We start from the raw sequence: 18,116 nt of genomic DNA on the forward strand, positions 1-18,116 counted from the left end.
CCCCTTCTAATTCTTCTTATTTATGATCTATTTTCAGATAAAATTGGGTCATTTATTAAAGTAGCTATTTCTTATAAAAATAGTTAAAAAAGGATTTTATATCTTTGTACCATCCATGTTTAAATACTCTTGCATGTCAATCAGTTACTTCTCCTTATTTTTTCCTGTATCACTTGTTTAAACAAATTTTCAGAATAGGCCAGGCATGGTGGCTCACACCTGTAATCCCAACACTTTGGGAAGCTGAGGTGGGAGTATTGCTTCAGCCCAGGAGTTCAAGACCAACCTGGGCAACATAGTGAGACCCTGTCTCTATAAAAATAAAAAAAAAATTAATAAAAATATTTTTAAAATTCAGAATAATTGACGTAACTTGGACATGATAAAGTAGTTTTCACATAAAAAAAAGCCTTTTAAACTTGTAGGAATTAAGAAATAAGAATAACCTACAAAATGCTAGCAAAATTTATCTCATTTTTTTTCATTGTATTTTCAGGTTTAACTGAACTGAATGACAGTCCAGTTCCCCTAGAACTTGAGCGCTGCAAGTCTCCTACCTCAGGTAAACATGAGTGGTATTTTGCAGACTTCTGGTAATTCACTGCAGTAATCTGTTGCTTTATTTTCATGATCTTTATAATGTGAAATTTATAATTTTAGTAATTAGGTATAATTCCATTCATTAAATTTACTGTAAGCAAATTTGATTCCAAATATCAAATACAAACAAATGTCTTTTAAAATATTTTTATCTCAAAATAAAATTAAGATCAGAGGTAAAAGTGCAACACTTTAAAAGACATTTTAAAGGAAAGTTATTTTGCAGATACATTAATAATGCTTACTAAGTATTGAATAAAAATTGGTGATATAGAGAAACTTGTCATCTTCAGGCTAGAGCTGAATTAGTGGGAAATATACAGTATATATGCAGAAGCAAATGATACCATTCCTCTAGACCACAGTTTGGAAACATGTATATTTATTCACAAGGAAAAATGATGATAGAATATGATATGAAGCAAAACATCAAGACAAAGTGTGCACCCATTAAAATATATTTAAAATGTGAGAATAAAGATTCCTAGGGATAAATCTTTAAGGTACTGTCTGTTAAAAAAAAAGTTAACAGTTATTTTTGGGTGGTGGGAATATGACTGGTTGGCCTGTTTTTTAAAATTTTTACATATTTGATAATTCTGATTTTTCTATAATGTATATATAGTTTTGTGTGAGTTTTTAAACACCAAAATCATTAGGTATGTCTTTACTGAATGATAGATCTGTTCTTACAGACAAGAAACTGTAGTTCCTTTTTATTTACATTATTTTAATTTGAACCTTATACAAATTTATAAAAGTTTAATAATGCCATTATAAAGCAACGAATTTGGACTTGTAGAAATTAATTTAGAATTGCAGCATTTCTTCCATTTATTCCATCCCTGAAAAGTGGTTAGTTCTTTATTCTTATTCTTCAGGAATCTAGGCTATGTATAATCTAGTTATATCCTATGTAAATTTTTCTCTTAGTCATATATTTTTAATTCTTATTTTACTGATCTTATTGTAAAGACTGTCTCATATGTTTACCCTGCCTTTTGCATTCTCATTGACACCAACCCAATTTAGGTATTTATTGCCTCATACCTATGGTATCATACAAATATTCTAGTAGATGTCTGTATTTTCTCTCTTCACCTTTTACAATTAATGTTGCATGTCATGTTGTAAAATTAATATTCTTAAAATATTACTTTGATCATATTTTCCCATGCTTATAAATCTTCGATATAAAATATAATTCAATACCCTTTATCAAATTTACATACGTAACTTCAAATTTTGTTATAGCTGGCCAGGCACAGTGGCTCATGCCTGTAATCCCAGCACTTTGGGAGGCCAAGGGGGGAGGATCACTTGAGGCCATGAGTTTGAAGACCAGCCTGGGCAACATAGTGAGACCCTGTCTCATTAAAGATGATAATAATAATAATTTTAAAAGTTTTTTAAAGATCATTATAGCTGTTCTACCTTTTTGTATTTTCATATAACTTTTATAAAGAATTTGTCAGTTCACACACAAACATGCTTAGATTTTTATTATGATTTCACTGGATCTATAGATCAACTGGGCAGAATTAACATATTCAACAATATTGAATTTTTCGTTTAGTATCTCTCTGTTTATGTGTGTCTACTTTCTTTCGGTAATATTTTTGGGTTTTTTTGTAGAGGTCTTGCATATCTTTCATTAAATTTATTCCTTTGTGTTTGTTTTTTTCCTATTATTGTGTTATTTTTATGTCTTTTTCTAATTATTTGTGGTTAGAATATGAAAATACAGCTAATTTTTGTATATTGAGCTTGCATCCAGGAAACTTGCTAAATCTATTTCTTAATTCTTATAGTTGGTAAAATTCTTTTGGATTATCTACGTATCTAAGTATGCCCCTTGTGAAAATGAAACCTCCATTTTCTCCTTCTAAAGGAAAAAATTGGCTAGGGCCTTCAATACAATGTTGAATAGATGTGGTATAAGTAGACTTTTTTTCTTGTTCCCAGTCTCATTGATAAGGCTTTCAATAACTCATAATTAATTATTATAATTGCTGTCAGTTTTTGGTAGATATGCTGTTTTTAGCCCTTTGCCTATGATGTTTCTTCTTTTGTTAATGTTACAGCAGATTTAGGAACACCACCACAACGCACAACGACCACACTTTTTTTTTTTTTTTTTTTAGACGGAGTCTTGCTCTGTCACCCAGGCTGGAGTGCAGTGGCGCAATCTCAGCTCACTGCAACCTCTGCCTCCGAGGTTCAAGGATTCTCCTGCCTCAGCCTCCCAAGTAGCTGGGACTACAGGAGCGTGTCACACACCCAGCTGATTTTTTGTATTTTTAGTAGAGACGGGGTTTCACTGTGTTAGCCAGGATAGTCTCGATCTCCTGACCTGGTGATCTGCCCGCCTCGGCCTCCCAAAGTGCTGGGATTACAGGCGTGAGCCACCGTGCCCGGCCCACACTTTATTTTTAATTTCAAAGCAGACTCAGAAAACTGTGCATGCAATTAAGTAGATTGTTTCAAAGCAGGAAAATTTTGACTATTTTTGTATTATGTTACTTGAGGCAGAAATGATGGATTGTGATAAGATCCATTTGTCACTTCAATACCTTACTTGATACTGGTCTACTAGACAGGTCCCACTCTTCTTTAGTAGCAACTTTAAATTATAAGTAATAATAATTGAGGAATGAGAGATTTTTTTTTCCTTATAACAGTTTTGTAATCATTAAATGTTATATTTGTTAAACTATGTGAAATGCATCCTTCTGGGAAAAGTGCGAATGGAGTTTACTACTTAAGAATATTGGAAATAATCACAATATTTACTGATTTCATTCATTTTCCATGAAAGAGAATGATAATTAATTGTGCTATATTAGAGGGTCATTTAAAGGACAGTGTGCCCATTATTATTTCCAAAATTCAATACAATACATATACAATAGCCACACATACACCTAAAACTACATTCTGTAATCTCTTGCTGTTGTAGGAATTGCTGCATTCTGATTCAGTAGATCTGAGGTGGGGCCTGAGATTTTGTATTTCTAGCAAGCTCTTGGCTGATGCTAAGGCTTCTGGTCTCCAGATCACTTGAGAATCACTGCCCTATGAAACATTTTAAAAATATTTTTTCAGTAGTTACCTCCCCTGTAGGTATCTGTTTGGGAATCTCAGCTCTCACCCCTTTAAATCTGCTACAGATGAAAAGATTGATGCAAATGTCTCTGAATAAAGGAGGTCAGGAATTAGGCAAACCAGAAACCAGTAATCATTTTATAACTCTGATATTCTCCTTTTAATATAATTTCAACTTTTATTTTAGATTCAGGGGTTACAAGTGGAGGTTTGTTACATGGGTATATTGCATGAAGCCAAGGTTTGAGATACAAATCTTCCCATCACCCCGGCAGTGAGCATAGTACCCTACAGTTAGTTTACCAACCCTACTCTTGTCCCCCTTCCTTCCTTTCCCCTCTAGTAGCCCCCAGTGTCTATGGTTGCCATCCTTATGTCCATGAATACCCAATGTTTAGCTCTCACTTACAAATAAGAACATGCAGTATCTGGTTTTCAGTTCCTGCATTAATTTGCTTAGGGTAATGACTTCCATCCAGCTGCATCCATGTTGCTTTAAAGGACATGATTTTTGGCTGGGCGCCGTGGCTCACGCCTGTAATCTCAGCACTTTGGGAGGCCGAGATGGGCGGATCACCTGAGGTTGGGGGTTTGAGACCAGCCTAACCAACATGGAGAAACCCAGTCTCTACTAAAAATAAAAAATTAGCCAGGTGTGGTGGTGCATGCCTGCAATCCCAGCTACTAGGGAGGCTGAGGCAGGAGAATCACTTGAACCCAAGAGGCGGAGGTTGTGGTGAGCTGAGATAGTACCATTGCACTCCAGCCTGGGCAACAAGAGCGAAACTGTGCCAAAAAAAAAAAAAAAAAGACATGACTTTCTTTTTTATGGCTGCATAGCATTCCATGGTGTATATGAACCACATTTTCTTTATCCAATCCACTGTTGATGGGCACCTGGTTAATTCCACGTCTTTTCTATTGTGTATAGTGTTGCAATGAACATATATGTGTATGTGTCTTTTTGGTAGAACTATTTCTTTTTGTGTGTGTGTGTGGGGTGGGGGGTTGAGGGGGTGCGGATATATGCCCAGTAATGGGATTGCTAGGCTGAATAGTAGTTCTAAGTTATTTGAGAAATCTCCAATCTGCTTTCCTCAGGGGCAGAACTAATTTACATTCCCATCAACAATATATAAGTGTTCCCTTTCCTCTGCAGCTTCACCAGCATCTGTTGTTTGTTGACTTTTTAATAACAGCTATTCTGACTGGTTTAAGATGGTATCTCAGTGTGGTTTTGATTTGGATTTCTTTAATGATTAATGATGCTGAGCACTTTTTGATATGTTTGTTGGCTGCTTGTGTCTTCTTTTGAGAAGTGTCTGTTCATGTCTTTTGCCTACTCTTAATGGAGTTATTTGTTTTGTGCTTGTTGAATTGTTTAACTTCCTTGTAGATTCTGGATATTATAACTTAGTTGGATGCGTAGGTTACAAATATTTTCTCCCATTCTGTAGTTTGTCTGTCCACCCTATTGATTGTTTCTCTTGCTGTGCAGAAGCTTTTTAATTAGGTCCCACTCATCAATTTTTGTTTTTGTTGCAATTGTTTTTGAGGATTTAAGTCATAAATTCTTTTTCAAGGCCAGTGTTCACAATGGTGTTTCCTAGGTTTTCTTCTAGGATTCTTATAGTTTGAGGTGTTACATTGAAATATTTAACCCATCTTGCATTCATTTTTGTGTATAGTGAAAGATTATAACTCTGATTTTCTATGTGGGTCTCAAACTTCCTTATACCACAGTGAACTACAGATAAAATAGAGTGAGGGTTCAGACCTAAACATTTTCTTGAGGATAATACAGGAGAAAAGAGCAGGGATTGGGAGCTTGAAGAATCCATTGAGTCAAATGGAATGCCAATGTTCTCAGTTTCCAAGATAATATAACACTTTATATTATCTATTCATTCACTCAACTATACATCAAATAATTTCCAGTTTCTACAGCTAGACATTATGCTATTCACTGAGGATAAACTAATGAACAAAATAAACATACTTCAAATGCAGAAATAAACATTAAACTTTAATTATATAAATTGTTCATACTTTTTTAAAGGCTGTACAACCTTTTTTTTCTCACCAACTTGTACTGTACAGCTTGACCTCCCAAGAGGGTGAGTAGGTGCTAACAATCAGCCCTAGCTTCACTTACCTGGTACAGGACTACAACCTCTTAAAGAGAACAGATCCTTTTTATTTGGACGAAGAATTGAAAACTTACCAAGCTTTCAACTGTGGGGCTGTGTCTTTCTAAATGTTGTTTGTTTTTCTAATGTCCTATTGAATGTATGCCTTTTTTCTAATTCTTTACTTGGATTAATATCTTTTTCTATACTAGCATTAGGTCCTGACACTGCTGCTACCTGTGTAGACATTCACCTTCATAATTCTCAGTGCACAATCTACAACACATTTATTATGCTATCAAGTTCAAATGAAGGCTAGGATGATAGAAATATATATCTTTATCAAAATATCATAGAGGTTAGTCACAAAATACTAACAAAGGAGTATCAAACTCTGTTGTTCTCAGGATTGGGTCAGAGCTTGGTCTTACAGCCTAGTTTGAATGCTCCTTCTGGGCATTCCTATGTGCCTAAAGTCCTATTTTAGTCTCCAAAAACCTTTCTTCTCCCTCCAAACAGTCCTTTGTTGGAGCAGTATTTATCTTTATTTTAGATAAGGATACAAAATGCAGATCTTTCCAAATAGTTATTATGAAATTCAGCTTTATTAAAGATAAAAATTATTGGTTCACTTAGGCTAAGGTACTCCATGCCAATAGTTTTATATTCCCTTCCTTTAGGACTTGCTACCAGAACCCCTGAGTCAGCACTAGGCTTTTATAGGAATGAAATATCAGCTATGAGACAGAGGAATCAAGTATATCACTTGCCAGGTGAAGATGAAAATCTCTTTATGAACAAACAAAAGTTATTCATATCTTCACAATTTTCTAGGCTTCACAACTTGTCTCAAAACTTTATTCTCATTTGTTGTGGTGGAAACACAAGTCCTTCATGGTGTATGAAAACAAATTTTTCTGAAGCAAATATAACGCCAGAGACACTTCATGAGATATGAATTAGGAATCCCTAAGGCTTTTGTGAAATGTTTGGAAATTTTCCACAAAATTTTGGTAGTGTTGTTTTTGTACTCTAAACCTGATTAGTTTTCTCAGGTCTCTAAGAAAGTAAGGGGGTCGCGGGTACGGTCAATAGAGAATTCAGTGAAATCTTAAGATCCAAACAATAGTAAGATTTTTTTTATATTCTCTGTAATTCTTCATAATACCATGAAATATTTTCTATCATCAGAAACAACTATGATTGCCTCAAAGAGGCAATGTTATCTCTCAAAAACAGTAAATGGAAAGGAAGGTCCTATAATCTAAATTTTATGCAGTCTTTGACATTTGCTTTTTTTTACCCCATGCTAGCTCATAGTGTTAAAAAGAAAAAAAACACTCAAACACAGGTTGCACAGCCTCCTGAAATTAGGCATTATCGCAAAATGACTGTGGCCAGTTTTACAACTCCACAAAGTGTGAACTATTAATGTTCTAGTCCCCAAATAAAGTCAGTAGCCAAGGAAGATAGAGATAATAGTTATCCACAGTTTTTCAAACAGTATTTTATTTTTCTCTTATGTAATACAACACCCCAGCATATGCCTTTTTCTGGTGAGAAAACTAAAGTTCAGACTATTTAAGTGAGTAGAGGTGGAATTCCAAGTTAGTTATATTTGTTTTTTCCCTAGTGTTCGTTAATTAAATGAGAAAAATTAATTTGGGAATTACAAAAAATAATCACAATTAAAATTATGGGACATTCAAACAGTGAGAAAATGAAAAGTAGCTGAGCTGTGAAATGTTTTAACAAAGAAATTTAATAGAACTTAAGAAATATACATTCCATGAAACATCAGAAAAAATATAGTTTACCATTAAAGTTTCTGGAAAAACTGATTTTCAAAATAATTTTTAGTTCTTACAGTTCATAAATCAACAACATTATCACCTTTTGAGTATATTAAGCCTTTTTTACTAAAAATTATAATCAACATTTGTATAGTACTTTAAAGCAAACAAGGTATTTTTCATATGTATTATCTTTAATCCTTACATCTATGTAATACTATTATTGTTCTTATTTTGTATGAATGGAGAAATTATGGCTAAGAAAAGATTCTATAGCTTTCCCAAGGTCACTGTGCTAGTAATGGCTTAGTCTGAACCCAAGTCTTCAGGTCTTCAGACTTCAAGGTCCTCTGATTATTTGGCCCAAATTATTTGGCCTCCTATTATGTCTACTAAAAAAAAAAAAAGTGGGTTGAAAAACTCAGTTATCACTGTAAGTTTATAACTCAAAATAGACATTAATCTTAACAGAAATGAAGTTTTATAATCATCGAACAACTATATGACATTAATAGTCATGGACTCATTAACATTGTCCAAATAGAAATATATTATATATTTTAAGATGAAGGTAGTGTCACAACATTAAACATTGTCATGCTGGAGCAAATTCTAATAAAAAATACCTCTTTACCCAGTTGTATCTTAACCACATCTTGGGAAAAAAGGGGAAAATTGCAACAAAATTAGAGATATGTAGGCTTTTTATGGCTTTACCATGGCGTGGTGACCCCAGAATGCTTGCTTTTTTGTTTTTAACTTTGTCTCTATACATACCAGGTGTTTTTGTCTTATCTTAGTTTCTGGCTTAGGGAAAGGTAGAGACAAATGAAATTTGTTACTGTATTCCAACCAGTCAGCTAATTAATCAGTAAATAGATAAATTCATAAGTACATAAACTAAAAACATTTTAATCTAAACAACTTTTATTTTAATTTAATGTTGTATTTATTTATTTCAGAGAATATATCCAGACCATACAGGTGGTATCTTCTGTATCAAGGAGATTATGTTGCTTAGTGGAAATGGCATAGCTTTGGAGTCAATTTTAGAGAAAAATTTGACCTTACCCTCTCACTTTCTACAGTTATAACTTTAGCAGGTTTCTTACACTTAATTGTGTGCCAGTGTTCAGAACATAGATGCTCAATAATATATGGTAGTGATTATTATAAAAGCAGTGGTGAATATCCATGGCCTGAAGAGACTCAGCTTGGTCCCTTTGACCATTCTGGACTTCCAAATATTCGTTGTAGCTTAGCCATAACAAAGTAGAAATTCTTCACTGGAAATCAAAAAGTAAATTCTGTCATTTCAAAGTAAGAAGCAATTAATCAGAAGCTTTGAATTAGAAACTTCTGACCTATCTCTTTGTGATATCTCCCATTAAAGTAGTAGCCATATGCAGACTTTGATTCAGGATTTAACCTGTTCCTAAAATTTTAATTCAGATGTAGAACCAATGATCTGACTGAGACTTATTTGTAGCCAATACAACATCCTTATGATGAACCAGGCTGCACTATCCATTGACTTTGAATTGAATTAGGAGTCAGCAGAAAGACATACGAATATACAGATGATTGAAGAAAGATGATACAGTCAAAACACACGAAGTCCCCTAGACAAAACCATAATGTAATGCCTGCAATTCTATTTTTATTTAGGGTTAAGCATAAAACCTCATTCTCACATAAGCTATGGTAAGCCACCAAACTGTTGATTACTCTGCTGCAATGCTATAATTGAACATAAATTTGGAAAGAATGAGTCTAGGAGTAGAGATAAATACTTTCACAAAGGTTTATAATCTGCTGCTGTTGTGAGGCTAGGCCATCATCTGATCTTTAGGCCAGAATTTACAGATGACTATTATTGTGTATTTTGCCATCAGTGAATACTTTCACTCATTTTCATAATTTTTAGTCTCTCATGCTATACCACTTAACAATTACTAGTTAATTCAGAAGTTGATAGATGTAACTAGGTAAGTGATTAACCCAATCTGTGGGGATGCTTTCCTATGTATTTTGTTTCTTTTTTTAGTCATATTTATTAAAGTACAATTTATGTAAAATAACATTCACATTTTAGTGTATAATTCTACAGATTTTCTTTCTTTTGTTTTTGATTTGGTTTCTATTTTCAAAAAGTATGCTACAGCATGTTAAAGTAACAAAAATTTCCTGACAATTTGCCCAGAATCTAACAAGTCCGTGGGCATAAGAAATCAAATTGTTATAATTCTAACACTTGCTGTGGTAATATTCCCTCACTCCAACTGGATTACATATGGTACTTTTTGCCGTGTTACTTTTGTGAGCTAAGACAGGCAGTTTTTCAGGGTGTGAAGGATTAAAGAGACCATTCAATGTGAGGATGCACAATGTGACTTAAGGAGATTTTTAGAGAAAATAAATAAGCCCGTTATAATTCAAGTTTGTTAGGACATACTATTGTGCAAAGGAAATAACAGTATTATATACAATTGAAGGCTTTATCAAGTGTGCTGTTTAATGCCAGGCACTAGATTTTCAGTAGAACATGTTGCCCAGATAAATTATTTCTGACATGGAATACTATAGAATGACAATCTTTTCTTGCCAATTAAGTTTAATAATGAAAATAATAGCTAACATTGAATGCTTGCCATATACCATACACTATGCTAAGGGCTTTACACACATTCCTTCCATTAATCCTGACAAGATTCTTGTGAAGTACAGACAATTGTTATCCTTATTTTACAGAGGAAGGGAAGCATCAATCTTTCTGAAATTAAGTAACTATTAGCCCAGGGCAGATGGTTGAGTCATGATTTGAATCCAGCTCATTTGTGTTCTTAAAAACTAGGCTTCACGGCTGGGCCTGGTGGCTCACGCTTGTAAACTCAGCACTTTGGGAGGCCGAGGCAGGTAGATTTCCTGAGGTCAGGAGTTCGAGACCAGCCTGACCAACACAGTGAAAGCCCGTCTCTACTAAAAATATAAAAACTTAGCCGGGCATGGTGGCATGCGCCTGTAATCCCAGCTACTCAGGAGGCTGAGGCAGAAGAATCGCTTGAACCCAGGAGGCAGAGGTTGCAGTGAGCTGAGATCGCACCACTGCACTCCAGCATGGGTGCTAGAGCAAGACTCTGTCTCAAAAAAAAAATAAAAAATAAACTAGGCTTCGCTTCATAAATGCTAGGAAACCTACCATGGAGAAAAGCAAGAGTGTCTGTGTGGAGCTGTACAAAGGGAAAAAAATGCATCTAACCTCTCCTAATAGGGGCACTACTGTTCCTTGTAACTACCACCTTCTATTCCTCATTAGAAAATGGAATATAAAAATATGATGAAAAATTTTAATTACTTAAAAAAAGAACTAATCATAATCACCTTAAAAAGCCCAGAAAAGTTATATATATACACACATATATATAATGCATATGTGTGTATGTATATATATTATATATATAATGTACATTTGTATCTGTATGCACATCTATGTCTAATTCAACAACTAAGAACAATATGGCTTCTCTTGTATGGAAAATCTGAGCTGCACTTCAGGAAGTACTTCTTATGTACCTTCTTATCCTGGGTAAAAGTCCCGTAGGTTGGTTAATACTCATGAAGACTTAAAAGATTGCTTTTTGAAATGCCATCTGTCAACCTCTTGATGTCAGTATAACCTGCAATTCTTCTTAAAATACAATTCCTGCTGACCTAAGGATACCTGGAGGTGTCCACTAAGTCTCTCCAGGTGCTTTAAGATCTGGCATGTGGGAGCAAGAACTAGTTAATTACTCATTATTGGTCCAGAGGTTAGAACTGAGACAAATCAATAAATGGTAAAGAAAAGTAGTTTGAGCTTGAATAGGAGGAAATTCTGTGGCAATTATAGCAATCCCAAATTAGAATTTTTTTATACTTTTGGAGGTTCTATCATGGAAATACTCAAACAGTTAGAATGTCAAGAATGTAGTAGGGGTGGGACGGGTGGCCCATGCCTGTAATCCCAGTGCTTTGGGAGGCTGAGGCGGGAGGATTGCTTGAGGTCAGGAGTTCAAGACCAGCCTGACCAACATGGTGAAACCTCATCTCTACTAAAAACACAAAAATTAGCCAGGCATGGTGGCAGGCGCCTATAATCCACCTACACGGGAGGCTGAGGCAGGAGAATTGCTTGAACCCAGGAGGAGGAGGATGCAGTGAGCCGATATTGCACCACTGCACTCCAGCCTGGGTGACACAGCAAGACCCTGTTCCCCCACATTCCTCTTGCCGAATTAAAGAAGAAACTACTTGTCACACCACATATGAAAAAAATCTACATAAAGATACACTTATTTAATGTAAGACAATTGCTTTTCACATATTTCTGTTTGCATATTAAATATTTACTACTGAATAGCAAAACACTAATATTGGAACAATATTTCTGCTTCCATACATGCTCACTAAATGGAATGTTCATCAGGGTTTTAATAATTATACAATATTTCTGCTTCATGGGCAGACTGGGAGGGGCATGGCCTGAAAGCCACAGTTTCTATCTCAACAGGGAAGGCTTATGGCATAGGGCATAAGCCTTCTGAGTGCAGACTGCTCAGAACCTAGCTAGCTGCTGCTAGTGGAACACTGTAGGTGTGAAACCTGCCTTGCCAAGTATGTGGGAGCTGGATGGGGCTTACTGCTGCCTGCTACTCCCCACTGCCCTAGCAGATTCTTCTGGGAAGCAGAGGCAGCTACACTTCTCCTTGGAACATTACCCCAGCAGCAGAGAACTGCCTTCTGATTTCCCCGGGGCTGCTTCTTGCACCCACATGTGGAGAGCTAGAGTGCAGACTTAACCTGACCCAGCCACCACCTGGCTTTGCTCCTCTACCCACCCTAATGGCTTAACACAAAGGACAGAAACTTTTGGGAGTTCTATGACCCCACTCATTGCTTGAGACAGTAGGGTACCTTTCCTGGGTAACACTTGAGACATCAGAGTACCTCCCCTGGGTAACTAACATTAGACAAGCACAAATACCACCATTACCACCACAGCTGTTGCTCTTTGCAAATGCTACCCCCTGGCTGGAGACCAACTAACACAGCCCACAACAGCATCTGCAGGCAGAATAACACAGCACCCAAGAAGGAGAAAACTTGTGCATGACCTCAGCTACCAACATTGCCTGCATCACCCTGGCCAACGGAGAGATCCTGAGTCTGTTCACATGACCCGTTCATTACTACTACAGCTGGCATTTGAGAAAGCCAACACAGTAAGCCTATTTATAACCAAGGAATCTCACAGAATCTATATCACTCGCCTGTCACCACCATCAGAGCTGGTGCTAATACCTGCTGCTGGGAGACTTGAGGACAGGTCATGTGCCTGGATCCCTTGCAGACAGTCCCCACTACCATCCTGAAGCGTGGCAGCCCCACAGGGCAGCTAGACCCAGAAGAGCAGCATTCACAGTAGTCTGGCCTTCAGGGACTCCTGCGGCTAGGGGAAGAGGGAGTGCACAACATTAAGGAGGCATCCTGTGGGACAGAAGAATCCAGATGGCAGGTCTTGAGTACCAAACTTTCCACATGTGGGAAGTTTCTTTCAGCAGAGGCACTGGTGCAGTGCTGAGCTCAGCAAGAAAAGTCTGCAGCTCTCCCCCAACAGTCAGGCAGCCCGGGTGCTCATGAAAGATCTTTGAGATGGAAACTTCTCCCCCTTGCTCGCCACTGCAGACACAGTTGAGGCTTCTCCCATGGGAGCTTAGCATGAGTGTACCTGTAGACACCCTTTCTGGAACATTTCAGGGTGACTGCTTTTCCACAGAAGGAGCATCCTCCAAGTTCAGGCTTGCATGAAAGGTAGAATCATAGTTCCTCTCTACTTGGAATATCAAAATTCCTGCAGATGAAAAGAGGTGCCTGTCTAATCTGAATAGGTGAAACACTGGGTGAAGAGTGTGTCTGGGAGTTGAGTAGCTTTCCTTCTGGTCTGGCAGAGGAGCTGAGGTAGCTCTCTCCCTTCCTCCTGAAAAGACCACAGTGCATTTCACTGAGAATTCTCCCAGCTACCTTTGTCAAGGCCGTGATCTCTCCCCAACATTGGGTATTGCATCTACCCACATACTTTAGCTACATCTGGTTTTTACCCCCAGACACCTCCCCTACTGGACTGAAGCCTGAACATTTCAACCCAGTAAATAAAATGTTGGGGAAAAAAATAACTAAATAAAAAAGTGCACACCAATGGGGAACAAGATAAGCTTCCAGAAACTTCTGCCATTCTAGCCCTGCAGGAGACAGTGAACCTGCTCACACACCAAGCACATTGCCACCACAACCAGCATCTGAGAAAGCCATCATACAAAGACTTTCTATAACCAAGAAACTCATACAGAGTCTTCACCTCTGAAAGCGCCCAGAGCCAAATTAGGTTACAAAAACTGTAATCATTAAAGTCACAACTTTAAGAGACAAAAAAAAAAAGAAATTTTTAAAAATCACAGATGAATTAAAAATAAATCCAAAAATAATTAAAAGAAATAGTTTACCCAAATGAGAAGGAACCAGAAAAATAATTTTGGCAATATGACAAAACAAGATACTGTAGTACCCCCAAAAGATCATACTAGGTCTTCCACAATGGATCCAAACCAAGATGAAATCTTTAAAACACCAGATAAAGAATTCAAAGGGTTGATTATTAAGTTACTTCAGGAGATACAAGAGAAAGGAGAAAACTAACATGAAAAAAAATTTAAAAATAACAATTCAGGATATGAATAAAAACTTTTCTATAGAGATAGATATTTTCAAAAAAAAAAAAAAAAACCAGAACTTCTGGAAATGAAAGACACATTTAAGGAATTATGAAATGCAGCAGAAACTTTTAACAGTAGACTAGACCAAGTAGAAGAAAGAATTTCAGAGCTTCAAGACAAAATTTTGAATTAATTCAATCAAACAAAAATAAAACAAAAATAAGTTTAAAAAAATGAACAAAGTCTCCAAGAAATATGGGATTACATAATCCCATGACCAAACTTAAAAATCACTGGTGTTTCTGAAGAAGAAGAAAAACCAAAAAGTCTAGAAAACCTATCTAAGGGAATAATTAAGGAAAACTTCACTGGCCTTGCTAGAGATTTAAACATTCAAGTACAAGAAGTTCAAAGAACTCCTGGGAGATCCATTGCAAAAAGGACATCACCAAGGCATTTGTCATCAAGCTATTTAAAGTCAAAGTGAAGTAAAGAATGATAAGAACGTGAAAAAAAAAAGCATCAGGTAACCTATACAGGAAAACCAGAAGGGATTCAGGCTTTATCTTTAGCCTCCTTAAACAGAATAACTATCATCAGCCAAGAATCTTGTAATCCAGCAAAACTAAGTTGCTTACATGAAGGAGAAATAAAGTCTTTTTCAGACAAGCAAAGGCTGTGGGAACTTGCCACTACCACACCAGCCCTATAAAAAAAATGCTAAAAGGGGGCAAAATCTTGAAACCAAAGGTCAATATGCACCAGAATGGAAACTCTTGAAAGGCTTAAACTCACAGGTCCTATAAAATAATAGCACATGGAGAAAATAAAGCATCTAGGTAGCAATCAACATGATGATTGGAACAGTACCTCACATCTCAACAGTAATGTTAAATGTAAGTGGTCTAAATGCTCTACTTAAAATATACAGAATGAAATTAAGGCAGAAATCAAGAAGTTCTTTGAAACAAATGAAAACAAAGATACAACATACCAGAATCTCTGGGACACGGCTAAGTCAGTGTTAAGAGGGAAATTTATAGCACTAAATACCCACATCAAAAAGTTGGAAAGATCTCTAATTAACAACCTAATGTCACAACTAAAAAAACTTAGAGGACCAAGAGCAAACCAACCCCAAAGCAGAAGACAAGAAATAACCAAAATCAGAGCTGAACTGAAGGAGATTGGGACACACACACAAAAAAAAAACATTCAAAAGATCAATGAAATTAGGAGCTGGATTTTTGAAAAAAAAATAAGATAAGCTGCTAACTAGGGTAATAAAGAGTAAAAGAGAAGATTCAAATAAATGCAATTACAAACAACAAAGGGAGGTTACCACTGACCCCAAAGAAATACAAGTAACCAGCAGGGACTACTATAAACACCTCTATGCACAGAAATTACAAAACCTAGAAGAGATGGATAAATTTCTGGACACAGACACCCTCCCAAGACTGAACCAGGAGGAAATTGATTCACTCAACAGACCAATAACAAGCTCCAAAATTGAGTTTGTTAATAATAGCCTACTGATATGGTTTGGCTGTGTCCCCACCCAGATCTCATCTTGAATTGTATCTCCCATAATTCCCATTGTTGTGGGAGGGACCTGGTGGGAGATAATTGAATCATGGCAGCAGTATCCCCCATACTGCTCTCGTGGGGAGCAGTCTCATGAGATCTGATGGTTTTATAAGGAGAAACCCCTTTTGCTTGGTTCTCATTATTTCTTTGCCTGCCACCATCCATGTAAGACGTGACTTGCTCCTTTTTGCCTTCCACCATGATTGTGAAGCTTCCCCGGCCATGTGGAACTGTAAGTCCAATTATCTCTGTCTTTTGTAAATTGTCCAGTCTTGGGTATGTCTTTATCAGCAATGTGAAAACTGACTAATACACCTACCAACCAGAAAAGTCCAGGTCCAGAAGGATTCATGGCTGAATTCTACCAGATATGCAAAGAAGAAATGTATCATTCCAGCTGAAACTATCCCAAAGAATTGAGGAGGAGGGATTTCTCTCCAACTCATTTTTTGAGGTCAGCATCATCCTGATATCAAAACCTGGCAGGGACACAACAACAAAAAAAGAAAACTTTGGGACAATAGCCTTGATGGTCATTGATGCAAAAATCTCAAAAAAATACTTGCAAATCAAATCCAGCAACACAACAAAAAAAAAAGAAAACTTTGGGACAATAGCCTTGATGGTCATTGATGCAAAAATCTCAAAAAAATACGTGCAAATCAAATCCAGCAACACATCAAAAAGCTATTCCACCACAATCAAGTAGGCTTTATCCCTGGGATGCAAGGTAGGTCCGACATATGCAAATCAATAAATGTGATTCATCATAAACAGAACTAAAGATAGAAACCACATGATCATCTCAGTTCAACATCCTTTCATGTTAAAAGCTCTCAACATACTAGGTAATGAAGGAATATAGCTCAAAATAATAAAAGTCATCTATGACAAACCCACAGCCAACATCATACTGAATGGGCAAAAGCTGGAAGCATTCCCCTTGAAAACTGGCACAAGTATGCTCACCCACCACTCCTATTTAACAGAGTATTGGAAGCCCTGGCAAAGAGCAATCAGGCAAAAGAAAGAAATGAAGAGCATTCAAACAAGAAGAGAGAAAGTCAAACAATTCCTGTTTGCAGATGACATGATTTTATATCTAGAAAACCCTATAGTTATAGACAAAAAGCTCCTGCAGCTGATAAACACCTTCAGCAATGTTTTAGGATACAAGAATCAATGTACAAAAATTACTAGCATTTCTATACACCAACAATAGCCAAACCAACAGCCAAATCAAAAACACAATCCCATTCACAATTGCCACAAAAAGAATAAAATACCTAGTAATACAGCTTAAAAGGAAGGTGAAAGATCTCTACAATGAAATTACAAAACACTGCTTAAAGAAAACAGAGATGACACAAACAAATGGAAAAATATCCACGTTCATGGATAGGAAGAATCAATATCATTAAAATTGCCATATTGCCTGAAGCAATTTAGAGATTCATTACTGTCAAACTACCAATGACATGTTTCACAGAACTAGAAAAAAACTATTTAAAATTGATATGGAACCAAAAAAGAGCCCAAATAACCAAGGCAATTTTAATCAAAAAAGAACAAAACTGGAAGCATCATGTTACCCAACTTCAAACTATACTACAGGGCTACAGTAACCAAAATAGCATGGGACTGGTACAAAAACAGACACATAGACCAATTGAACAGAATAGAGAGCCCAGAAATAAGGCCACACACCTACAACCATCTGATCTTTGGACTCCTTATTCAATAAATGGTGCTGGCATAACTGGCTAGCTAAATGCAGAAGATTGAAGCTGGATCCCTTCTTTACACCACATACGAAAATCTACTCAAGATGGAGGAAAGACTTAAATGTAAAACCCAAAACTATAAAAACCCTGGAAGTCAAGCTGGGCAGTATCATTCTGGACATAGAAACCGGCAAAGATTTCATGATGGAGACACCAAAAGCAATCACAACAAAGGCAAAAAGTGATAAATGGGATATAATTAAACTTAAGAGCTTCTGCACAGCAAAAGAAACAATTAACAGTGTAAACAGACAGCCTACAGAATGGGAGAAAATATTTTCAAACTATGCATCTGACAAAGGACTAATATCCAGCATCTAAGAAGAACTTAAGCAAATTACAAAAGCAAACAACCCCATTAAAATG

At 36.4% G+C, this 18,116-nt stretch overlaps 1 protein-coding gene across 11 annotated transcripts in view; it reads left to right on the forward strand.

Annotated features, from left to right (window-relative positions):
- STXBP5L (syntaxin binding protein 5L) overlaps positions 1 to 18,116 on the forward strand; it is a 516,557-nt gene that overhangs the window by 409,774 nt on the left and 88,667 nt on the right. For all 11 annotated transcript variants that reach the window (NR_145516.2, XR_924217.3, XR_001740373.2 and 8 more), the window contains one exon: positions 497 to 562. Coding sequence is in view for 8 of the 11 variants with exons in the window: in NM_014980.3 (NP_055795.1) it covers positions 497 to 562 (66 nt within the window). In the remaining 3 variants the exon portion in view is untranslated. The remainder of the gene's footprint in view (positions 1 to 496; positions 563 to 18,116) is intronic.

Source organism: Homo sapiens, chromosome 3 (genome assembly GCF_000001405.40).
Source record: "Homo sapiens chromosome 3, GRCh38.p14 Primary Assembly".
Taxonomy (NCBI): domain Eukaryota; kingdom Metazoa; phylum Chordata; class Mammalia; order Primates; family Hominidae; genus Homo; species Homo sapiens.